This window comes from Homo sapiens, chromosome 18, assembly GCF_000001405.40.
Source record: "Homo sapiens chromosome 18, GRCh38.p14 Primary Assembly".
Classification (NCBI taxonomy): domain Eukaryota; kingdom Metazoa; phylum Chordata; class Mammalia; order Primates; family Hominidae; genus Homo; species Homo sapiens.
This window is the reverse complement of record NC_000018.10, coordinates 73,561,013-73,587,538: the sequence shown is the minus strand read 5'-3', so window position 1 is coordinate 73,587,538 and position 26,526 is coordinate 73,561,013. Positions and strand designations below refer to the sequence as shown.

The 26,526-nt window shown below is 35.2% G+C and overlaps 1 long non-coding RNA gene across 2 annotated transcripts in view, besides 1 other annotated feature; it reads left to right on the top strand.

Annotated features, from left to right (window-relative positions):
- LOC105372190 (uncharacterized) overlaps positions 1-26,526 on the top strand; it is a 312,925-nt gene that overhangs the window by 103,753 nt on the left and 182,646 nt on the right. The gene's annotated exons all lie outside the window — the stretch shown is intronic.
- Positions 22,785-23,984: an enhancer, noted in NCBI's record as "CDK7 strongly-dependent group 2 enhancer chr18:71230790-71231989 (GRCh37/hg19 assembly coordinates)". NCBI's record gives its function as "activates an origin of replication core promoter dependent on BRD2, BRD4, P300/CBP, MED14 and CDK7 cofactors, with strong dependence on CDK7, by STARR-seq in HCT116 cells {active_cell/tissue: HCT116}" and the evidence as "EXISTENCE:reporter gene assay evidence [ECO:0000049][PMID:35650434]".

Below are 26,526 nucleotides of genomic sequence, written 5' to 3'. Positions count from 1 at the left end.
CATTTTTTTCTGATTGATGATTTTAAATACTTGTCAGATACTTCCAACATTTAATTTATCTAAGCATTGGCAATTGATTGTCTTTTCCAATGAAGTTTTGATTTCTTGCTTCTTGGTTTCTGATTTTGGATGGTATTCTGGCCATTTTGTCTATTATAATAGCAGAATGAGTCCTGCTTAAATATTTAGTAGGAAGCCCCACTGTTTATGTTTAGCATGCATTTCCTAGCCTACTTTTGTGGGCTGTATTTCAAATGATGGTTTAATTTTCAGATGCCTTGCAATATTATTTTGGTTTGCTTAGTTTATTTGGTGCTGCTTTGGTTTCCACTGGTCGCTGTTGCTGTTGCCTGAATGGGCAGGGTTTCTCCAGGCCACCTACTGTCTCTCAGTGGAGGAAGGGAGTCTCAGGTCTATGGGCATGAAGAGGCTACTCTGGTTCAGTGCTTGTTATGATGAGATCTTTCTGCCTTGGATAGAGAGGACTTTCCAAGCAGGTCACTTGCAGGAGTGGGACCTCCTGTATCAGTGCTCACTAGCCACCCATGTCTCTGGGGAAAAGTCTCATGTCTGTGGGGGCAAAGAGGCTTCTTTGGCTGGGCCACATTTTATGGTGAACTCTCTGGGCAATGCCCATAAGCCACCCTGTTTTTCTGGGCCAGAAGGGGAGTCAAAAGCCCACAGGGATAAAGAAGATTTCCTAGTGTATTGATTTTCTCTTGTTGCCTTTACAAATAATCATAAACTGCGTGGGTTAAGCAACTCAAATATATTATCTTATAGTTCTGAGGGTAAGAGTCTCTCACATATCTCAGTGGACTAAGATCAAGGTTGACAGGGCTGCATTCTTATAGGCTTTGGGTACTATTCCTTTCCTTGTCTGTTGCAGCTTCTAGAGATCATGTGTATTCCTGGTCTTACGGACCCTTCCCCATCTTTAAAGTTACCAATGGCAGGTAAGGTCCATTTCACATTGCATCACTCTGACCTACCCTTCTGCCTTCTTTTCCAGTGTTAAGAAGCCATGTGATAATATTGAGCTTACCTAGACAATCCAGGATAATCTTTTATTCCAACTTTCATCACATCTGCAAAGTCTCTTTTACCGCATGAAATGACATATTCACAAGTTACAGTGATTAGGATATGGGCACTGGGCCAAGTCACTTGTGGTATAGTCCCTTTCACCAGTAACCCCAGTTTCTCTGGTGTCTGTGGTTGAAAAAAGGGGATGAAATCCTTAGGGACAAAGAGGCTAACTGAGTTGGGACACCTGTTGTGGTGGAATGCCTCTAGATTGTGCCAACCTGTCACCTGGTGTGTCAGGGAGGAGCCTCCAGAAGACGGTGGCCTGTGTGGAGGGAGAGTTCTTCTCCTAGTCACTTTTTTATTTTGATACTAGACACAGTGCTTACTTTCTTGAATCGATTTTTCTGAGCGTATTTAATTATACTCAAAATCGACAAAAATGTGTACATTTGAGGTATACAATGGGATGATTTGATGTACGAATACACTGTGAAATGATTGCCACAATCGAAGTCATGAACAAATCCATCACCTGGCCCCTTATTGGCAGCGTTTCCTATGGTTCCCCCTGCCAGTGGTGCTGGGCTCAACTGGTGTGTTAAAGGAAGACACATTCCATCCAAGGAAAGAATATGGTTACTGGGATGCCTCTGTTGCTGTGTTGGAGATGGGAGGCATGAATTCTTGCTGCCTTGTCTGGTAGCTGGGGTCACCTAAGATGCCTTGCCACTGTGTTGATCCTCCACTCCTTGAGCCCCTAACTAGTTCCTCTTTCCTTTAATATATTTCAGAGACGTCTTTTAGTTGCCTCTTTTGTTATTTCCAAAGCTTAAATTTATACTTAGGAGGATAGCGGGGAGAGACAAGTCTACTACATCTCGTCTACACAAGAAGTCATCTGTTCCGTTTCTTATATTTCGAAGCTCTCTCCTTGAGTTATGCACATATTGAGGACATTTATATCTTCTGGTTGAATTGACCAGTTTTTTCAATATGCAACATTACTCTTTATCAATGGTAAGATTTTTTCCAGATGCTTATTTTGTCTGATATTAATATAGCCACTACAGTTTTATTTCTGCATGATATATCTTTCCCCATCATTTTACTTCTAACCTATGTCATTGGAAGGAAAAAACCTGATTAAAAATGGGTAAAGAATCTGAATAGACATTTCTCAAAATAAGACACATGAAAAACTACATGAAGAAAATGCCCAACATCATTAATAATAAGGGAAAATGAAAATTAAAAACACAATGAGATATCACCCCATATCTGTTAGAATGGCTACTATAAAAAAGACAAAATATAATAAGTGTTGGAGAGAATGTGGAGAAAAAAGAACCCTTTGTTCCTCAGTACACTGTTGTGGGGATGTAAGTTAGTATAACCAGACACGATATGGAGGTTCTTCAGAAAATTAAAAATAGGACTATCAGATGATACGACAATCCCACTTCTGGGTATATATCCAACGAAAATGAAATCAGTATGGTGCAGAGATATATGCATGCCTATATTTATTGTAGTGTTATTCACAGTATCCCAGATATGAAGTCAACTTAAGTGTCTATCAACTGATGAATGAATTTTAAAATGTGGTGTAATACACAATGGAATAATATTTAGCCTTAAAAAAGAATGAAATTCTGTCACTTCTGAAAACATGAATGGCAAATACCACCAGTTCTCACTTACATGTGGAATCAAAAACAGTTGAACTTATAGAAGCAGAGAGTAGAAAGCTGGTTACTAGATAGTGGGAAGGGGTAGGGTGTGCAGGAGAGAAATTGGTGAAAGGCTACAAAGTTTTATTTACATAGGAAACATATGTTTTTTAGATCCATTGCACAACATAGTGACTATAGTTAATAAAAATGTGTTACATATTTCATATTACATATTTCTCCTTTCCTTTAAATAATCACTCCATTTTGTTCTGATCTGCAAGGTTTCTGATAATTATTCTACTGTAATTCATATTTTTATTCCTCAGTATATAGTGTTTCCTTTTCTCTCACTGCCTTTAAGATTATTTTTCTTTGTTTTAAATATTTATTCATGGATTTGTTTGCTTGGGGTTCATCCCCCTTGGAGGATCTCTGAGTTACTTGAGTTTGTGGCCTGACATTTTTATTATATTTGAAATTTCTCTGCCATTTTCTTTTCAATATTTTTTCTTCTACGGATTACCTTTCTCTTCCAATTCTGGGACTAAAATTACACATATATATTAGACATTTTGATATTGCCCCACCATTTTTGGTGCTCTATTATTTTTATCAATGTAGTTGCAAGTTGGATGATTCTTTCTTCAGCCAGGTCAAGTCTACTGATAAGACTATCAAAGGAATCTTTCATCTCTAGGATTTCCATTCTACTTTTTCTTGTAATTTCTACCTCTCTGCTGAAATCCCTCATCTGTTCCTGAATTGTTCATCTGTTCCACTGGGTTATTTAATATACGTCACATTCATTTTACTTTCCATTCTGACAGTTTTAGCATCTGGGTCATTTCTACATCTGGATCTGTTAATTGTTTTATTTTGACAATAGGTTGTGTTTTAAGTTGGTATGTCTCTGTTTTGACTAAATGTTGAATAGTATGTAAGGAGTATCAGAGACTGAAATAAATAGTATTCATATCTAGAAATGAACATGCTTCTTCTGTTTTAAGCTAATTAGCATTGAAAGTGACATCAATCTGGTGAGAATCTGGGCTGGATTTGGGATTTATGGTTGCTATGGTTATGCTTAGTGCATCAAAATCTTCACATGCTTCTAACTGTAGGTTGTTTATTGTATTGTTCCTAGAATAGTGGCTGCGGCTACTGGGAGTTTTTCTAAATGTTTCTGTTTCATCCCCAGCTGTGGGCATTTTCTGCATGCCTGCATTACAGAGGAGTTTCTCTCTACATCCTTACCCATCTCCCACAGGTAGGCTTCTCCTGCTGACTATTCATTGCTTCCTATGGTGGTGGGATGTGTACAGTTTTCTATTGTGTTGATCCAGCTTCCATGTAGGTAGCTGAGCTAGTCCCAGTTATGTGGCTTTCCTAGCTTTCCTGCCTTGCCTCACAATGGCACTCAATCTCCTGTTTTACATGGTGGGTTCTTGCTCAGGGACAGAGTTTCCTCCCTCTTTGCCTGCTGTTTCAAGCCCTTCCTTGCATTGGTGTAGAACCTTGGGCACAAGACTGTTTCTGACCCTCCTGTGAGGTAAAGTGTTGTTTCCTCCTTACTGCAACCACAGTGGCTCAAGTTAGTTCTTGCATATCCCCCAGTGGAAGAGAAACTTGCACTCCTCCAGCCAGCCAGTGTTTTCTCTGTGATCCTGAGAAAGAGGCTTTGCAACCTTCCTACTCACCTCCCTTCCCAAAGATTTTAGACTTTTGTAGGTAGAAGACAAGATCAGGCAGTTGGCCATGCCTTGTGCCTTCCACCTCTTCCACCCTCGGCTACTGTTCATCTCTTTTGAGTGTGGGAGTGATAGGATTTGCTGCCCCTCCTCCAGCACCATAAACCTTTCCATTGCTAAGAGAGAAGGGACAAGGCTGGGAGGTAGAACAACATTATCTTTCCCCTAGTGGTTGCCAATCTCTTCCTTCATTCCTGCACCAATACAGGAATCTTTTTCCAGTCTTCCCACAATTATCCCCTTGAGCACTTGATGGATTCTATGAGTCGGGATTCCCCCTTGTCTCTGGGGTTTCCATGGTTTTTGCTTATGCTATTTACTCCAGCTCACACTCAGTCAATAGCAATCTATTCCAATTTTAAGTGCATTCTTTGGTGGCTGTCTGATGACCACTATTTCTTCCCAAGTATAACATAATAATCTAGGTCATGCATCCTGTTTCTCTTCACAGTGGTCTGATTTCCCTTGAATTTTGGGCTTATTTGTTGCTAAGAAACCTCAGCTTTCTGATAGGCCCAGGTGGGAGAAAATATTTGCAAACAATGCATCCAATAAAAGATCAATACCAGAATATATAAGGAACTCAAACAGCTCAGTATCAGAAAAACCCAAATAATTCTATTTTAAAAAATGAGCAAGTGATCTGAATAAATATTTCTCAAAAGAAGACAAACAAATGGCCAACAGGTATGTGAAAAAATGTTCCACATCAGTAAACATCAGGGAAATGCAAATTAAAACCACAATAAGATATCATTCAAGCACAGTTAAAATGGATTCTATCAAAAGGAAAAAACAACAAATTCTGGCAAGGATAGGAAGAAGGGGGAGCCTTCATATGCCATTGGTGGGAATGTCAAGTAGTACAGCCATTACAGAAAACAGTATGGAGGTTTCACTCTAAAAACGAAAAACAGAACTGCATTATGATCCAGCAATCGCACCACCGAGTACATTTCCAAGAGAAAATAAACCAGTACATGAAAGAGATAACTGCACTCCCATGTTTATTGCAGCACTGTTCATAATATCCAAGATAGGAATCTACCTACGTGTCCATCAACAGATGAATGTATAAAGAAAAATTGGTATATGTACACAAGGAAATGCTATCTAGCTTTTAAAAGAAGGAAATCCTGTCATTTGAGACCACATGGGTGGACATGTAGGATATTATGTACAGTGAAATAAGCCAGGCAAATAAATTGAATGTTCTCACTTATATGTAGGAACAAAAAATTGAATCTCGTGGAAGTAGAAAGTAGAATAATAGTTCCCAAAGACTGAGAAGGGCATGGGAGAAGGCGAGATAAAGAGAAGTTGGTTAATGGGTTCAAAAATACAGTTAAATGGAAGGAATAATTTCCAGTACTCAGTAGTATTATAGGAAAATTATAGTTAAAATAATTTATTGTATATTTCAAAATAGCTAGATGAGAAGTAGTATAATGTTTACAACACAAAGAAAGGATAAATATTTGAGGTTGTGGATATCCCAGTGACCTTGACTTGACAATTACACATTGTATACATGTATCAAAATATCACATCCACCCCAAACACATTTACAACTATGATATATCAACACAATAAATAAAAATAGAAGTTACGATTTCTTCTGTTAGAGTAAGAATGACGCTGTACCATTGTACATCCCTGGGAGAGACAGAATGTCCAGGCTATGGTCTTTAAGGGCCAAACATCTGGGTAAATGTTGCTGAATTCTGTCATGTTTTGAGTTTTTCCAAATCCATGAATCTTAAGAATCTGGTTGACAAACTTTAGAATGACGATTTTGTGTCCTATGTAGATTCGAATAAATAAAAACATTAAGGTGGATAACAGAGTGACATGGATAAAACCCATCTTCCTGAAACTAAGTGCACTGTTACTTTTGTAAAAATTAGATTTATCCACCTTATCACAATTATTAACTGAACTTATTGGCTAATTAGTAGTTTTCCATTTCATTTTCCTTTCATAGACTCACCTAGGGTATAACTGAACAATGTAGCAATAACTCACCTGTGTCAAAGCTTAAAATATTTACTCATAAAGTGTGTGTCTCACAGTGCAAATAAACCTAGACCTAGTTAGTTGAGAGAGTTAAATTACTATATTAAAATTTGTCTTTTTATTTTTGACCTTTTACATATCTTTATCTGTTTATATGGCCATTTATTCTGCTATATAACTGTCCAAAAGATTAAAACTGCATTTTATGCTTCATTAAACTATACATTAGGATTCCTGAGATTCAGAATTAAAGTGACATTATTATGAATAAAATGATTGAAGCATAATTATGATATAATTACCAACGATTAAGATACTTAACCTAGATGGTTGTGTCAATAAACATAACCATTTTTTTCTAATTTTTATTAAAGAGTCAAATTACAAATATACTTCATGTTTTAAATAGCTATTTCTTCTGGTTTTAACTCATTTTTATCAGAAACATAATAATGACTTCATTTTAATCTTCAGGTAAACGCACATCCTAAGTATAACCTTGGGATAAGAGAAAGTTTGCATGACTTATGATGCTAGATGTCATCACTGATCAACTTGTCCAGGGAGTATAAAGCACGCACTGGAATGTTCCAACTGTTTTCCACTCGGTGGCTCATTCTTTATTCACTTTCTGCCTCTATAAAATTAGCCAGTGGACCCTTTACAGGGAAGGATGACTATTCTTACCAAAACTTCTAATTTCATTCTAATCTAGTCAAACACATGCTGTAGTGTTATATTAGTAATGCCCAATTAGCAAGGCCTAGGGTAGAAAATAGAAAAAAAAAAAAGGCAAATGCAAGTCACTCCTAGTAAAGTCATTTAATCTCACTCATCAACAGCTTTGCTTATCTTCACTAAAATAGCAAAGTGGAAGTTGTGAGAAAAAGAAAAGTGAGTCAGTGGGTCACGGTTCCTAGACAACATACAGTTTCTGAGCCAATGTCTTTTACTTAAGCCTTTATAAGGACAATGACTTGTCCCTAAGCAGAACCTTGTTCAAAGTAGGAATTCAATATAAGCTCATTCAATGAATGGATTGAATAATATGATACTCTGAATTTTCTATGCAAAACTTACAGGTATTAATATTTTGCCATATTTATTAAATTATTCACTCACATATACTCTCTATCATGTGACAGACACTGCCCAGGGTGCTGAAAATCCCTAATTCATTCTTGATACCCTCTCTCAAGCACTTCAAGGATAAAATGAGTTTTGCTGAGATAGAATTATCTTTGGGTGGGTGTGACTGGGACACAGCTTGAACATACCTAAGGTCTCAGAATATTCTGCACCTTGACCTGTGTGCCAATTACCTTGACATTTTACATGGTTAAAATTTATTGAGTTTACAATTATGTATTTTTTCTGTATGCTTCTTATCTTAAAAACCTTTTTACATGGGATTTGTGAATTGACTTTCATAAACACAACGTATTTGGTTTGAGGGTCAAAGTGCAAGCTGTAGAGGACTAATAAACATCCAAGATTGCGTGCCAATTAAAATACAGGAAGCCCAGTTAAATTGGAATTTCGATAAATACCAACATTATTTTTCCTGTAAGTATGCTCCAAATATTTCATGAACATACTTATAATAAAGAGTATTTAACTAAGTGTCCTACAAATCCTGTACATTTTGTTTGCTAAGTCAGGTAATCTTAATCGGAAGTAATCCACAATCACTGTAAATCAGCAATAAAATATTGCATTTTTGCTTTTTACAGTTATATAGTATTTGCCACCTATCTTGAAACAGCTCACATTTTCCTTGTAATACTATGAAGCTGTTATAAATCTACTCTAGCTAGAGAAATTTGCAAGACATATTTTTAATGACAAAAGAAAGATCACCAGGCTTGGTTTTCAAGAATTAACCAGGAAAATTAAGCAGGAGGTGGAATGAGAAGAATAAAATTATCACATTGTAACTCCAACAACTGCCTTAAATTAATATTGTGCAGCTTTCTAAAATCAATAACAGTTTAAACCTATTATAAATAATATATTAATTCTACAGGTAGCTTTTACTGTTTCCCTGCAGTTCACTGTGGTCATTCTACTTATTATTAACTTTTCACATTTATGATATACAGATTGGTTTTGCCTTCTTGGCTCATTCTAGAAGTTAACTTTGTTGTACATTGGGCAAAAAACCAAGGACAACCTGAAGAACTCACTCATCTTATCACTGGTTCCTGCTGGTAGAATTCTTATGCCTGGAAGTGCCATGTGGAATAACTTACTTTGTATAGGCAACTCGTTAAATGGAGTTGCTTGAGTTCCCTACGTATCTTAGATATCAACACCTTATCAGATGTATATTTCGCAAATATTTTCTCACAACATTGGTTATCTTTTCACTCTGTTAATTGTTTCCTTTGTTGTGCAGGAGCTTTTTAGTTTGATACAACCCGATTTGTCTATGTTCACTTTTATAGGCAGTGCTTTTGGGGTCTTACCCCAAAAAAATCTTTGCCCAGACCAATGTCACAAAGCCTTCCCCTTATGCCCCTTATGTTTTAAATTGAGTTTAAGTTGGTTCTTCATGGTTTGTCATTCTTGCCATTGCTTTTACATGTCCCTGCTAGTATTCTGATAGGCTGAACCGAACTGAGGGCCAGAAAGCAAGAGGGTCCTTTTGAAGAGTCAGCTCACGGGACTTACAGCAGGTGGAGAGTAGATCTGATGAAGTGGGAGTTACCCAGGACTTCCTATGAATTCCTTTACTCTGCAGGACACCCCTCTCTTGGAGAGATTTATTAAAGATGCTCATTTATGGGCTGAAGAACTACTCTTGACTTGCGTTTTCATTGAAATAGGCTGTTTGAACATCTTTAACTCATTATATATTTAGCCTTAAGTTGTTGGATTCCCCTTTCAGGTTGAATAAATGATTTCTAACTGAATCCTTGCCTTTGAATTTTGATGCATATTTGGATGAAACTGTGTTTTTGGATTATAGTCTCAGCCTAGGCATCCAAGCCAGCGTTACCATTGTGAGTAAAAGTTAGTATTATTTTCCGATAGCAAATTCTCAGTTGCTCTCCTATGAAGAGTGATATCATGTTACATTTTTAAGGAAGTGAGATTTACCAAAGTGAAATCCTAGATAAATAAAAAACCGATAGTTGAGATTACTGAAGTATTGCATATAATATTTGAGAACTCTTAAAGAATAAAAAATGTAATGAAGAATTAGAAATGTAATAACATTGCTCAATTTTTAATTTGAGATGTTAGCTTTGAGCAAATACTCTGAAGAATTATTTTAAAATTTGACAAATGTATTATTTTCCAATAATCATAAAATGTATGTAGGCTTTTAATGCCATCTCTAAAACTATATCTATCATTTGATGATTTTTTTCAAATAATATATACAACTTCACCATTTTAAAAGCAAAAAAAAAAAGGTGGCGAAAAAGTGAAAGAAATAAGCAGCCAAAAGTTGCTGTAATATACTTGGAATGCAGTTCATGCAAAATGCTACTATGACACAGTTTAATCCTTCCCAATGAGATGAGTTGTCAGTTGCTATTTAATCTGCTAAAGCATAGTCCTTTGTTGGGGAACAGAAAATAAGAAATTAGGAAAAAAGTAGTCTTCCTTTAATCCTACTAACCAGGGCTGTGATAAGCTGATAGAGAAAACAAAAGGGAAATTGAATTTCTCAGAAATAATCTAGAAAAAATGGGTCAGAATGGAGTGGAAAGGGGAAAAAAGACAATACCACTCTACTTTAAAATAGGAGGCAGCCAGAAATTCAACATGAATTATTGTTTATCAAAAGGTACCCACTTTCCAGCCTTGCTGTAAATTTCCATTTGCAGAAAGCTCAGATATCTCTGAACTTGATGCTCTGAATAAAAGGTGTGATTTCTAGAGGAAATTTACTAGCTGTCCTATTTCCCATGCAAAGGGAGAAAATCCTGCAACTTCTAGGCTGACTTCCTCACTAGGTATGAAGTAATATCTCCTGTTCACATAAGATGAAGAAAAATGTTTTAGTTTGTAGTAGAGAAATATTCATTTTTTATTTGCTAGTTGTTTTTAATTGAAGTTTTAGAATAAAGATATAGTAGTTGGATATATGCCACAGGTAATTTCCCCTAAATAGGTTGCTAAATATGTCCTGCCTTATAGAACATGCATTCAAGATATCTTGTAGATTTAATTTATTTTAAAGCGGGATTTCTTTTTGAAATCCATCATTGTTTGCTGGTAAAATGAAATGTTGTCTGTTACTGAAAATTTACCTAATTAATTACTTCCAAAATCAAAGCAGTAAAATTCCAAATTGAAAAGGAATAAGTTAAATTGTCCTTGTTTGTAGATGACACAATTATATATACAGGAACCCTGAAGACTCTATCAAAAAACTGTTAGAATTAACAAACAAATTCAGCAGGATACAAAACCAGCATACAAATATCAGTAATGTTTCTACATATTAAAATTGAACTACCCGAAAAAAATCAAGAAAATTCCATTCACAATAGCTACAAAAAATAATAAATAAAACACTTAGGAAGAATTTTAACCAAAAAGTTGAATGATCTGGATACTGAAAACCATAACATATTGATGAAAAAAATTGAGAAAGACAAAGACAAACAGAAAGAGATCTCGTGTTCATGAATTGGAAGAATTAATATTGTTAAGTCTACACCACCCAAAGTGATCTACAGATTCAATATAATGTCTGTCAAAGTATCAATGACATTATTCATAAAAGTAGAAAAAACAACCACAAACTTTTTGTGGGACCACAAAAGACCCTGAATAGCTAAAACAATCCAGAGCAAACAGAACAAGGCTGGAGGCATCACAATATCTGACTTCAAAATTTATCGCAAAGCTCTGGTAACCAAAACAGCATGGTGCTGGTATAAAAGCAGATACAAAGGGCAATATTAAAGAATAGAGAGCCTAGAAATGAATCTCTGCATTTACATCCAACTTATTTTGACAAAGGAGCTAAAAACATACAATGGGGAAAGATGATCTCTTTAGTAAATGGTGTTGGAAAGACCGGATATACACATGAAGAAGAATAAAACTAGAGGCTCATTTCTCATTATAAACAAAAATCAAGTTAAAATGGATTAAAGACTTAAATGTAAGACTCAAAACTATGCATATTAGTAGAAGAAAACATAGGGAAAAGCTCCATGACATTGGTCTGGAAAATGACTTTACAAATATCATTCTCAAAGCACAGGCAGGAAATACAAAAATAGACAAATGGAATTTCATCAAACTAAGCAGCTTCTGCACAGCAAAGAAAACAATCAACAGATTGAATAGACAACCAAAAAAAGGGAGAAAATATTTGCAAGCTATACATATGATAAGGGGTTAATATCTAAGATATGTAAGAAACACAAACAACTCAATAGTAAGAAAACAAGTAACCTGATTTTAAAATGAGCAAATGATCTGAATGTAGATACACAAATGACCAACAGGTATATATGAAAAAAGATTCAACATCACTAATCATCAGGGAAATGCAAATTAAAATCACCACCTCAAACCTATTAGAATGACTATTATCAAAAAGACAAGTGATAAGTGTTAGACAGATGTGGAGAAAAGAGAACCCTTGTACACTGTTGATGGCAATGTAAATTAGTAGAGCCATTATGGACAACAGTATGAGGGTTCTTCAAAAAATTAAAAATAGAACTACCATATAATCCAGCAATCCACCACTGGGAATATATCCAAAAGAAAGAAAAATCAGTATGTTAAAAAGTTATTTGCACTCTCATATTCATTGTAGCACTATTCACGACAGCCAAGATATGGAATCAACCTAAGTGTCCATCAATGGATTCATGAATAAAGAAAATATGGTAGGAATACTATTCAGCACTGAAAAATAACAGAGTCTTGTCCTTTGTAACAGCATGGATAACCTTCCAGGAAATTATGTTAAGTGAAATAAGCAAGCACAAAAAGAAAGATACCGTATGACCTCATTTGTACCTAGGATCTAAAAAAGTTGATCTTATAGAAGTAGAAAGTAGAATGGTGGTTACCAGAGGCTGGGTGGGTTGGAGTTGGGTGGACAGATGTTGGTTAAAGAATATGAATGTTCAGTTAGGAGGAATAAGTTTGAGAGATCTATGGTGACTGTAGCTAATTATCCTCTATTGTCAAAAAATGCGAAGACATTGCAAGTAAAGTGTTTTCATCACAAAAGTGATAGCTATATGAGGTGATGCATATGTTAATTAGTTAGATTTAGTCATCCCACAAAGTATGTATACTTGAAAACATCATGTTGTATACAGTTAATACATTCACTTTTACCTGTCCATTGTAAAAAGTAAAATAATTTTTTTTTTTTTTTGAGACGGAGTCTCACTCTGTCGCCCAGGCTGGAGTGCTGGAGTGAATTGTCAAGCTCTTGGCTCACTGCAACCTCTGCCTCCCAGGATCAAGTGATTCTCCTGCCTCAGCCTCCCAAGTAGCCTGGACTACAGGTGCACGCCACTACACCTGGCTAATTTTTGTATTTTTAGTAGAGACAGGGTTTCACTGTGTTGGCCAGGCTTGTCTTGAACTCCTGACCTCATAATATGCCTGCCTCGGCCTCCCAAAGTGCTGGGATTACAGGCGTGAGCCACTGCACCCAGCCAAAAGTAAAATAAAATATTTTTAAAAAGCAATAATTATCCAAAGATTTAATAAATTTTATTTTATTTAATAAATATTCCACTGTGAACGTAGCAGTGTACTTGTTCTCTGTTGATCTACATTCTAGTTAAAATAGACAAGATGAAACAGAATATATATATATATCTATGACTATATACATAGAAGATATCAACAGATTATATTAATAGACAATATAACAAATAAATTAAAATGTGGTTTCACTTTTAGTAATGTATTTCTGATAAACTGTCATCTCAACATTTTATGTTATAGAATATATCTAAATTCAAATTGCACCTCAAAACTCAGTACATTTATTATTAATCAGTGTCCTAGAGGATTTCCTTGCACTTCAAATACTGCTGCAATAGCTTAGGCACAGTACCTCCCAGATGATGTTAGCATTGACAATCAGATGGTGAGAAATGAAAAGACATCTGTGAGACAATAACTACCTTAGTTTAAGTGTTCTTCTACCACTACTTAGATTTATAGCAATTAATTTCCACATGCTTTAACAATAAGCCTGTCCTCATTAAAACACTAAAACCAATATGTAGAAAACATATTACTTCAGTGTCTTGTCTCCAAACTGTTATGTTGGCACCGGTTAGACAAAGTATTTTAAAAATTCACACATCTTAAAGGCTAAGAGGTAAAAAAATCATACTCAACTCTGGAACATAACATTTTAGGGTCTTATTGTAGGTTCTTCAGGCTTTAGGAAAACAAAATTAAAATGTGCTGGCTTAATTTTCTTCTCTAGTTGTAGCCACATTATCCTGTGTGAGGAGAATCTTTTGATGTTGCAGGAATGAGCCTTTTCAGATGTGACTCTAATATACACTTGGGGACCATTGACCTCATGTCTTCAAGAATCCCATTCACACATGCGCGCGCACACACACACACACACACACACACATACACACACCTCAGAAACCAAAGGTATTAAGAAAAGGAATAACCATATTGTATTTATATCTCAGGCCGAACATTAAAGGTGATCCCTTTCATGATCCATCCCTTTATTTCTTAAATCTTTTATGTCTTTTTCTCAATTTTCTTCCTCAAGAGATCTGCTCGATTGGCTCACATATAACAAACCCTGACAACTTTGCTAGACACCTTGCCCCCAGGATCTTATGAAGATCTGATAAAATAGAATGAAATTTTACCCTGACCTAGAGTTGTATAAAGGCATAGGTTCCCTCCTCTAAACATGGTTTTTAAACTCCAGACCCACCCAAGCTGGGCCCAGGATGAAAGTGAACCTCTTGATATATCTCTGATCTCAAATGAGTTATTTTAGATCTTTCTCAGAACAAAACTGCACTAAGAAGTTGCTTTGCTGTCTACACACACGCCTCAATAGTCCTAAAAGAATAAGCGAGGGAGAAATGGAAAGATAATCCAAGCTTGTCTTTCCACATCTTAACTACCCTCGAGCTCTTCCTTTTGCATAAGGATTCAGTAAAATTGTGACCTCTCCCAGGACAGACTAAAACACCTGGATTTCCCATGCTTCACTAAGTTGTAAACAGCTTCCAGAGTCAGCAGCTTACATTTACTACTTGCAATTTTTAAAGGACTAAAGCTTTTATAGCTAAGAAATATTCTAATGATATGAAGTTAAATAAAAATTGGCAATAAAAGAATACATTTTGAAATCACTGGGGCCTTCTAATGCTCTCCAAAATGAAAAGAAGTGGGACAAACATTTATATCATGTCTATTTTTATTGAGCAATGTTATGGTAATAACAAATATAAAAATATTATTCGCACCTTAAATCTGATAAGCTTGAGGCTAAGAAAGAGTATGTAACAGGCCTATGATACCCATACAGTGAGGGGTGAAACACAGAATAGAAACTTTAAATCTTTGACTCCAATGTGCACTCCTAAAACCAGGTTACCTTCTGTATTCACACATGGCAATGTGTAGGTAATTTTCTGTGTGATTTTGATTCATTTGCTTTGTGATCATTTGATCAAATGTTCCAAACTTTTCTCATTCAGTGGACTATATGTTTCTTTTCAGAGCTGGTAAATGAATACTTGAGGTTCACTGGGTTTAGAGCTGTCAGATAAAACAGAGAAGAGCCAGTTAAATTTGAACTTCAGATACACAAATGAACAATTTTTAGTAGAAGTTTATCCTAAATATTGAATAGGATATACTTGCAATATTTGGGACACAATTCTACTAAAAATATTCATCTGTAATTCAGATTAACTAGGCATCTCATACTTGTATTTGCTCAGTCTGGATACTCTAACTGGGACACACCAAGTGAAGGTATTATCATTTGTAAATCCATCATTTTTTATCCTGACATTTACCTTTGTTTTGGGTATGTAAGATTAGATGCAAAATTTTACATTGCACTGGGATGAATGCTATAGGTGCATTACTGAATTCTATCTTTCTATTACTGAATTTCTTAATTTGAAGCAGAAAATCTATCTTTCACTTTTTCAGCAAGAAAAAAGTGACTTATGAAAAGTAGAGTAAAATAAATAAAAGTTTCTGTATAAGTATTACTAACAGGAATGTGCATGCTTTCTTTCAACGTTTCATATTTTTATCTTGCTGTGGCACCAATTTTAGTGACTCTATAGCCTGTGGTGAATCGTTATGTTTGCCATCAATTACTTTTGACAGCTTTAACACACTTCATTGAATATTTAATAATAAGGGCATTTGATTGTACATATTTTTCGTAAAGCTTAAGATGTTTTTCTCTATTGAAGTTGAGGGCAAACGAATATGCTGAGGGTAATTTTCAGCAAGTGGCTAACGTCCCTAAGGGACTAATTTTGTTGAAAATCTGTATAGATAAAAAAATCAAAGTACATCCTTTGCCTTTCTTTTGGTGTGAATAGTGTTATTTACCAGCTTGGAAGTAATAGTTGTTGCCAATAAATTAACATAATGCTGTCTATTTTTTATCTTCTTGTAGCTTACAATGCATTTTTACTTATGTTTTAATCCATAATAACAGCCTAGTGAGTTATATAGGTATTACCCCATATATACATGAATTAATTTTATTCCCTAAAACAAGGAATTTATGTCCTTTCGAATGTGCACAAATTGCATGATGGTATTTATCTGAAAACAATGACCAATGCTGGACAGATAAAGATATATATATATAAAACACACACATACACATATACTATGTATATACTATACTGTATATATTATATACATACACATGTTTGTGTATTTATATATATAAATGAAGAAAGTGTCTTGCAGTGTTAAATTTGCTAGCATGAGGATGCTTTCCGACATATAACGCAAATCCTGACTTTTGGGCCTCTGTGGGTACATCAGAATGAACGTGATCCTTGTTTTGAGTTTTATGAGATTTGTTGCAAAATATTGTATATGAATGGAACAAAAACATGTAAGGATTGTATTTTAAAATGTTACACATAGGATTTTAAAAGTCTTTTGATTGTAGATTTTTAATTTATATGCATGTGGTTTCTATGATGTTATAATTTTTAAAATTTATGAGTATTTCCCTCGTGAGTCATTATGTGATCAAAAATTGAAAGCATCTCATATTTACATGACAAGAATCAGATACTCATATTGTGTACATGTTAGATAACACTTGTTACTTTCGATATCCAAATCTTCTGTTTTCTTAATAATATTTTATCTTCTTTCTGAAAGAGAGGTATACAATGTTTGTGCTATGATTTTGGAGTTGTCAAGCCTTTCTTTATGTCCATCAGGTTTTTGTTTTCATACCAGTTATGGACATATTTATAGATGTTCACAAGATGACAACTGTAATATCTTCTTGGTTAGCTACTTGGTCAATAAGAGTGATCTGCTTTTAGGACTTTTTGTGCTTTTTATCTTAAATTTAATTTTGTCTGCTGTTAATATTACTACATCCAATTTCTTTTGGTTAAGTGTCACATTTCTGTTGCTTATTAGTCTCCATTCCTCATTTTCAAACTTTGACTGCTAAGTAGCATCCGTTTACTGGATTTTTCTCTGTATCAAATGTGACTATTTCATTAAAAAAAACACTTTTTATTTGTGAACAGTTTTAGATTTACAGAAAAGTTGTAGAGCTAGTACAGGGTTCTCACATATTTCATAATCATTTTCCTATAATTAACACCTGGCATCCTTATAGTATATTAGTTACAAATTAATGAACCAACCTTGATAACATTATTTTAAAGTAGTGTCCGTAGTTTGTTCACATTTCCTTGGATTTTACCTACTGTCGTTTTTCTGTTCCAGGATCCCACATTATTTTTAATCCTCCAGCTTTCATTAGGCTCCTCTTGGCTGTGACCATTTCTCAGCCTTTTTCTTCTTATGACCGTGATAGTTTTGAGGAGTACTGGTCAGGTATTTTGTAAGTGCCCCTTATTTTTGTGTTCTCATCATGATTAGATGGTGGTGATGGGTTTTGAGATGGAGATGCCAGAAGTAAAGTGCCATGCTCATCATATCATGTCAAGGTTACAAATCAAGGATACTGTGAACTGAAGAATCACGAGGTTTATAAATTTGGAGAGGAGACTTAATTTCTTATATATGGTTACAGCCTGCAGATTGGCCATCGTGACAGAATGGGAGGCATGCATAACCTCTGGCAGAGACTGGAAGATGGCACTTTGTGGGAAGGGAGGGCGGAACAGGAATTTATGTTGAAAGGGTCGGCCAAGTATACATATTTAACAGGTATAAGGGGGTTATGCATATTTATGAAGGGGGGACATGCATATGCATGATAAGCAAATAGGCACATTACATGCATCTTACATTTACTTTGGGATGGAGATGTAACATTTAAATGTATTACAATTAGACCCTATACATCAAAAGGTGAAGCAGGGGCATGGAGATAATTGGTGTACAGCCTCTGTAAACCAGTCAGAACCAGTTCATTGTCTCTAATTTTTTCAGAAAAAAATTATTAAAATCAGTCTCTTGTTCAATCAAAACTATAGTTATGATTGGCAAAACAGGAGAGCCAGTTAGTGAGTAGCTGGCAGTTGGAGAGCTATAATTATTTTAATATTGTTTATATTAAAGGCCAGTTTTTGTCTACCTGCTAAAAAAGAAAAAGAAAAAAATCCCATGACAGTTAAAACAGATTTATTCTTTAAGTGTAGGGGAGTGTTCCTTAACCCTTACATGGCCTTAAGCCTGAATTATAACAGTATTTTATTACCACAAAAAAGTCCATTCTGTCAGTCTTACAATCCCTATATAACAAACCATCAAATTACTTATCATGGTTGGTGTCAATCTTGATCACCTGGCTGAAGTGCTGTTTGTCAGCTTTCACCACTGTATTATTACTCATTTTTCACCCTTCGCCCACCGTACTCTTTGGAAGGAAGCCACAAAATATAACCCGCATGTAAGGAGTTGAAAGTTGTATATTACCTCTTGAGGATAGAAAATCTGCACAAATTATTTGTGCTGTGCCAGTAACAATTTTCCAGAATTTCTCACCTGCCCAATAAGTTAAGGAGATGTTCGATAATGATTGAAAAGAAGGCTACTTTATTTTTAATTACAAATAAATAAAAAATCATGTCAAGGATGCTAGGACTATGAACTTTTCCATGTACCAGTAATGAAGTCAAATTATATGATGAATGCTATATATTAGCAATAGCATAAAAACTATAAAACATCTAGATAAATAAATAAACATGAGAAATATTTATAATATATAAATAAACATAAAATATTTATAATATATAATAGGAAAACTAGTATGAAGATACTATAAAATGTTACTGAATGTCATACAACTATGTTTCTGAATTAGATGAAGTAATATTGTAGTAGCTAACTCTGTATTAATTACTTAAAAATTTAACAAACTTTTACACAATTCTGCTTAAAAGTCTCAGTGATATTTTTAGAATAAATTCTAATATTAGAAGTAAGTCTAAATTTAACACCAAGAAATTGGTGATAAACCGTCAAATTGGCAAGTGATTTTAAAGGCACCATTATTTTTTAGCATAAAAGGAAATAAACAATTATAAAAATTATTGAGTGAGGATCTTCTTTCAGTGAACAATTTCACATTAACTATTAAAATCTTTTCAGAAATTAATAGCCTTAGAATGTTATCTATCTTTGGATCCACCACTTGTATTTCTAGACATTTATGCTAAGCAAATAGTCACGATTGAACACAAAATCATCACATGAGAATGTTGACCTCAGCAGCTTTTATAATGGTGAAAAATTGAAAGACCCTTAAGTCTCTGCAATAGGAGATTGATGATGGAATCTTCTTATATGGAAATACTATGTAGCAGTTAAAAATAATGATATAAAACATATATATTGCTACTAAAATATATTGATATATAGTAATTTAAAATAGAAATAAGTTATAAGTCAGCATATATAGAAGGATTATATATTAAAAGTCTACTTTAGCACTCATAAAAATTGGGAGTATGTATATATTAAAATTTTATCATTGGTTTCATTTGTTTTCTTCTTGTTGATTTAATATATTTTAAAACACTTTATGCAAACAACACACGTTCATTATAGAAAAAACAAAATATGAATGTTAAAATATAGCCAGTAATTATCATCTTATTGAGCTAGCTTTCTTCCTATTCAGTTCATGTTGTGCCAGTAAAATATCTGGTCAGATTAAGGTAAAATAATTGTCGTAAAAGTGAAGGAGCAGCATTCTACACACAGAGCACATCCTGTGAAGTGGAAGGATGCCTGATACAACTGAGAACATGAAAGAAGACAGATGGAGGGAGATCTCAGAGAAAAGTGGCAGGACTGGCAGGCACAGGTAGGCAAGAGCCAGGTAAGGCAGGGTCTCTGAATGATTCTCATGCAGGGTAACACCATGCTCACATTTGTGTTTTACAAAGACTTCACTGGTTGCAGTATAAAGAATGCGATAAAGAAGGGAATGGGAGAATATAGTCATAATTCCAGCCCCTGATATACTAAAATAAAGTAAAATTCATAGCACAGATTATCACAGGTAGAGATAAGTTAGAGCAGATAAAGGTGGAGTGACAGGTTTGGTTGCAGTCCCTGTCTCCAAGTGACTACTAATGACTATGACTACCACACACACACATGCGCACATGTGCTTCTGCACAGGCACACACACAGATATATACACAATCTGTGAAATAGTAAGTGAGACTGTCAGCTAAGAGGATGGGCACTGTGAGGCCAGGAGTAATATTCAAAAATCTTTCAGCTGTGTTGGCACCCTTCATGGTTACATTTTCATAGGCAGCCAAACAAGGGTGACTGGGGGGAATTCAAAGAGCTGGTATGAAGCCGGCTTCAGGCAGCCAAATGGGTGCTGGGCATATGCCTGCTGTGGCCCCAACACCATAAACACTGTTGCTTTCCCCACATTCCATGCCTGCTATTGCCACTATAATGCGCAGGGACCAGGCCAGCCAAACAGAGGTGCAGTGGGCCAGCTGGAGGGCTGGAAGCTGATGGCATACAGGTAGCTCTTTAGTGGTAGAGGGTAAGGTAACAAGAAATGTGGTTAGAAAATCATCAGAGTTTGGGGGACTACTAAAACATAAAGGGATAAACAGTTTAGAATGTCAATCAAAGCAGAAAAACTGCAGACGTTATTGTAAAGAGAAAGAGGGCATGCTACTTAGAACAGTGGTTCAAAAGCTTTAACTCACTTGAGAATCACCTAAAGGACTGGATGAATCCTAGATTGCTAGGGCTCAACCCCAGAGTTTCTGATTCGGTTTGGTCCAGAAAAAGTTCCAAGGATTTGCATTTCTAACAAATGATCTGGTAATGCTGATACTTCTATTCTGTAGGCCACATTTTCAAGCCAGAGAATCACTGGCTTGAAAAAATTCAATAGGATAATTGGGGAGTTGTTTTTTTTTTTAATTTGTGGTATTATTTATTTGCACAATAATTATAATTTCTATAGCACTGCTCAATGGTTAAGATTCAAGTAGTGATTTGTTTTGTTTTTGAGTCAGGGTCTTGTTTTTTTCCCCAATGTTGAAGTGTGCTGGTGCAATCACAGCTCACAGCAGCCTTGAACTCCTGGGCTTAAGGGACCCTCTCACCTCGGCCTCCTGAGTAGCTGGGACTACAGACATGCATGCCCACGCCTGGCTAAATTCTTTTAATTTTGTAGAGAGAGTATCTCACTATGTTTCCCAGGCTAGTCTCAAACTCCTAGCCTCAAGTGATCCTCCTGCCTCGGCCTCCCAAAGTGTTGGGACTACAGGCATGAACCACGATATCCAGCTTTGGTTTTGACAGGTATACTCAATCAAAATACAAAAGGAAGGTGAGTTTTAAATAATGACAGGAAACTTAGTGAAATGATGGATTATGGAATCTAAGTTAGATACATGTAAGGAAGACAAAAAGAAAGAGAGCTGAAGGGACAGGGAGGGGAGTTGAAGAAAAGAGATCAGAGAAGCAGAATCTTGTTTCTCAACCATGGCTGAGCATTAGAATCATCTGGGACTCTTAAAAATTACCTGTGCTGGAATCCCAGCACCAGAAGACGTTTTAATTCAATTAGTCTAAGCTGGAGTGCAGACATCAGTATTTTTTAAAAGGTTTGTCTTAATTCATTATGCCTGCTATAACAAAATACCATAAACTAGGTGGCTTACAAATGACAGAAATGTATTTTTCACAGTTCTGGAAGCTGAGAAGTCCAAGAATAAGGTACTGGCAGATTCACTGTCTGGTGAAGGCTCACTTCCTGGTTCATAGATGACATCTTATTGTTGTATCTTTGTATAGTGGAAGGGTTTATCTAATAACTCCCTGCAGACTCTTTTATAAGGATATTGATCCCATTCAGGAAGGCTCTGTTCTCAGGGTCTAATCACCTCCCAAAGGTCCCACCTCCTAATACCATCATACTGGGGATTCGATTTCAATATATGAATTTTGGGGGCACACAATAAGACCCTGTCAGTTTCCATAGATGATTCTAATAAATAGTCGGGATTGAAGACTACTGGGCTAAGAGAAGCCCAGGTAAGGAAGAGAAGACAGGTGTAGAATGGTACTTATCTCAAACGTGCCCAACAATAAGGGTCACCCGGATGATTATTTCATGTGTTGCTTCTCAGGCCTCTGCACTGGAGACTGAGTAGGTCTTGGAAGACAGATTTTTATGGTAAACAAATAACAAGTGATGATTATTTACTGGTTTACCAAATAATCAGAAAAGATAGGATCATTGTGTTCATGATTGGGGTATCTAAAACAATGATTTTAGCATTTACAGTATTGACAGAATATTGAATCCAGACAAATTTATCTTGTAGATTATAAGAAAAAATAGTTTGGAGGCAAGAGGAGATGTTGGCTCCGTTGAAATCACAAGGATACTGGCTAACATGGTTGGGGATGATGAAGGCTATCGACAATGTCAAACTTTACCTGAGCTCTGTGTCCTTGGAAAACAATGAAAGTGAAAAAAAAAAAAAAATCTCTCTCACTCTTCTATGTTCCAGAAACAGCTTTCTGGAAAGAATCCCGCTTCCCCATATGACTTCGATAAAAGTCACAGATGCTCCCTTGTTTACCTACGACAAGGCCAGAGACCTTTGAAATTCCCATTTTTCTCCCTCATGAATGTTTAGCTGAACTGCTTGTCCCCACAAATCAATTGGAACAGAATTTTTGTTGAGCATATTGTGTACAATATAAGGTGCTGAGTATTAGAAGACAATGTATTTTCTGCGTAGACATGGACATAGAATGTGGAATAACAGTCATCGGAGACTCAGAAGGGTGGGAGGGTGGGAAGGGGGTGAGGGATGAGAAATTATTTAAGCAACACAATGTACACTATTTGGGTGATGGTTACACTTAAAGGCCAGACTTCACCACTACACAACATATCTATGTAACAAAACTGCATTTGCACCCCTTACATTTAGACAAATAAAAAAGTGTACTTTTCAACTTGTCATTTATCCAGTACTTCTTTGGAGGCATAAACATTGTTTCTTCCTCCTCTGCTTGAGTAGTTACTCATTGTCTCATACATAGAGTTGGAGTAAACTTCCTGGTTCTTCTCAATGTGACTCACCCAAAACCAGTTGGATGCCTCTTCTGGAGTGGCTGTATGACTAAGGAAAAAGTGCAGGAAACAAGATGTTCTAAATATCATTTCCTTTCATTGTTCTTTGGCTTTGTTTATTGTTTTCTTCAATTGACACATGGCAGTAGATCCAATATAAACACAGTACTTTAGTGAAATGTGATATAGGGCATTCAGTGCCTCTTTTTTGAAATCACTATTTGATATGCATACCCTCCCACAAACACATAGCACTAAAGAGGAGGAAGTAATAGACCCTACCTACTTTTTCCTGTTTATGTTGTGCAATTGTTTTCAAATGGGGCATCAGAGAGGCTGTGGGAAAACAAGGAATTTTTAAGATCTCTTTTGTCTTCTATCTGCATGCGTCACCATCTGAAATGAAAAGAAACAAAACTATAAATATAATAAAGAATACAAAGTCATGAGGGGATGCAGACTGTCATCTTTACACACAAGGGATCTAATCATTATGTTTCCTTGGTTTCTAAAATTGCAGTTTACCTGACTAAAGCAGTCTGGATAATGCTTATATTCAACGCACAGTGAGGTGAGAAAGATACTGTATTTCTCCTTGGGGCTCTTTCAAACTACGAATCTACCTGCCCCTAAGAATCCATTACCTTTGAGAAAAGTCCTTGTGACTGGGAGCCACTATGACAGATTTGGGGAACGTGTTGGGGAGTGTGATTAATGCATCAGGAATGCTAGATGAGACAAAGTTTGAAGTTCTCTATGGAGAGTGTATAATTTGAACCAGAGGTTCTCAAATTGCTGATGTTCTTTGTGTGGGTGTCGGTCAGTGAGCTCATGGCAGAATCAACTGGAAATTTCTTCAACATCACAAATCCCCACTGTGACTACAGATCTTTTGAATCAGAATACCTGAAGGTAAGTCCAGTCATGATTATTTTCAGAAAATCCCAAAGATCACACTTCTCATCACAAGTTTTTGTTAAATTTTGGAAAAACAATGAAATGTACCTGAAAGTTCATATATTAGAAATATTGTGAATATTCACTTCAACTAATGGTGGGCTAGAAAAGCTAAGAAAAATGTTTTTGCTAAGAAGAATGAGATCATGTCCTTTGCAGGGACGTGGATGGAGCTGGAGGTCATCATCCTTAGCAAACTAACACAGGAATAGAAAACCAAATACCGTATGTTCTCACTTAAAAGTGGGCTAAATGATGAGAAAACATGGACACATAGAGGGGAACAATACACACTGGGGCCTTTAGGAGGGTGGAGTGTCGGAGGAGGGAGAGGATCAGGAAAAATAACTAATGGGTATTAGGCTTAATACCTGGGTAATGAAATAATCTGTACAACAAACCCCCATGACACAAGTTTACCTATACCATAAACCTGCACATGTAGCCTTCGACTTAAAATAAAAGCGAAAAAAAGAACTATAAATCTGAATGAAATATATTAACCTTCTTAAACATTTCTAAAAGCTAATAAGATAGAAAGGAATTATAGGGCAAAAAAACTGGAAAAAAAAATAAAACCCATAAATGTAAGAGGACAATTCAAAACCATTTTTCTTGAAGGGTTATTTGCCTATAAGTGAAGGTTTCTGAAGTCTAGTTGGCTAAAGGTGGTGAGTGAAAGCTCAGGGCTTACCCAAGAGGGAAAGCAGATAAATATCCTTTTCACTTTTATTTGGCACCAAGGGGGACACACATTTCACATTTTGGGTAAAGACAAACTGGAATTATGATAACCATTTGTGAATGACTTTTAGCATTGTTTCGTGTGCCTTAGAAAATCCAGAAAACCTTATCTTTAACATGGCTTAATGTTGTCCTGAAATAATTCCCCCAGGTAACCAATAGTAGCAAACATAAATCCTCTCCTTAGAAAAAGTACTTTTATTATAAGCCTCAAATTATTTCTACAGATTTTTTATGATTGCTGTCCAGACGGGATCAAAGATGACCAGACACAAAAGCAATCCAGAATCTTTAACTGAAAAAATAGCAAAACAAAAAAGGCCCACAAAGAGTGTATTAAAAAATTAAAAGCAAGCTTGAGTATGTATAAAGTGAAAATTATGAAAAGATACAATGCAGATTTAAAGAAGTTACAAGCCAAACTTTAACAAATTATACAAGAACTCTAACTGAAACCTTAATATTTGAGTTCAAAAACACATGACACATGGATAAACAGAGAATTAGTGAAACAGAAAATGGGTGAAAAGAAATTTTCTAGAGAGAAACAGGAAAAGACAAAATAATGAATAATTATAGAAGAGAGAAGACACAAGTGACATACAAATTAAAGAAAGTCTAACATAATTTTAATGAGATTCTGTAAAGGAATAAAAGAGAGAAGATGAAGAATTGTTCTGGAGTCAATATTGAAGGATTTACCTCAGAGTGACAAAATTTGATTTGATAGAAGCTCTAGGATGAAACATTTTTAAAAAGGAGCAAATGTATGGGTAATTCTATATTAATTTAACTACATAAAATAATAATGCCTTGTGGTATTTTACAAATGTTGAATTAAAATATACAACACTGGTAGTATGTATGTTGGGAAGTAGTAAACGGAATTAGTGTTCTCAGTTTCTTCTATTGTCCTGAAAGATTTTAAAGTTATTAAGTAATATTAAATTATAATACATTTAAAAACTGCCTATGACTTATAGGATAAAAATAAGGATACATAACTTCCAAACAAGAGTAAATAGCTGCAAGTATTAAGTGTATTATATTTAGTATATACTAAAATATATAGCATATATATATAAACTATATAGTATATGCTATATGTAAATATATCATATATAGTATATATACACTTTACTATATAATATATAGTATAAATATGGTATAATTTATATTTGTATATATAAAAGATCTAAAAGAAGGCAAGGGAGGATAGAGAAAAGATACACAGAACAAACAGCACAGAATGGATTAAGAAATCTAAATATAAATTATTTGTAAGAGATAGATCTAAAACATAAGAATACAGAAAGGTTAAATGTAAAACAATTAAACAAGATATGCCAAGCACATTCTAAGCAAGAACGTGTAGCTATATTACTATCTAATAAAATGGACTTTAAGGCAAAAATAATTACTGGACATAAAAAAGTGTTTCTGAGTAATAATAAAAGATCTAACTTCACTAGAAATAGAACATAATAATGAATATAATCATTGGCTTTCTGCTTTTACAATTTAGTTGAATGTGATAAATTAGAATATAGAGTTTATTTTTTAACACAGTTCACTGGCCTCCGAG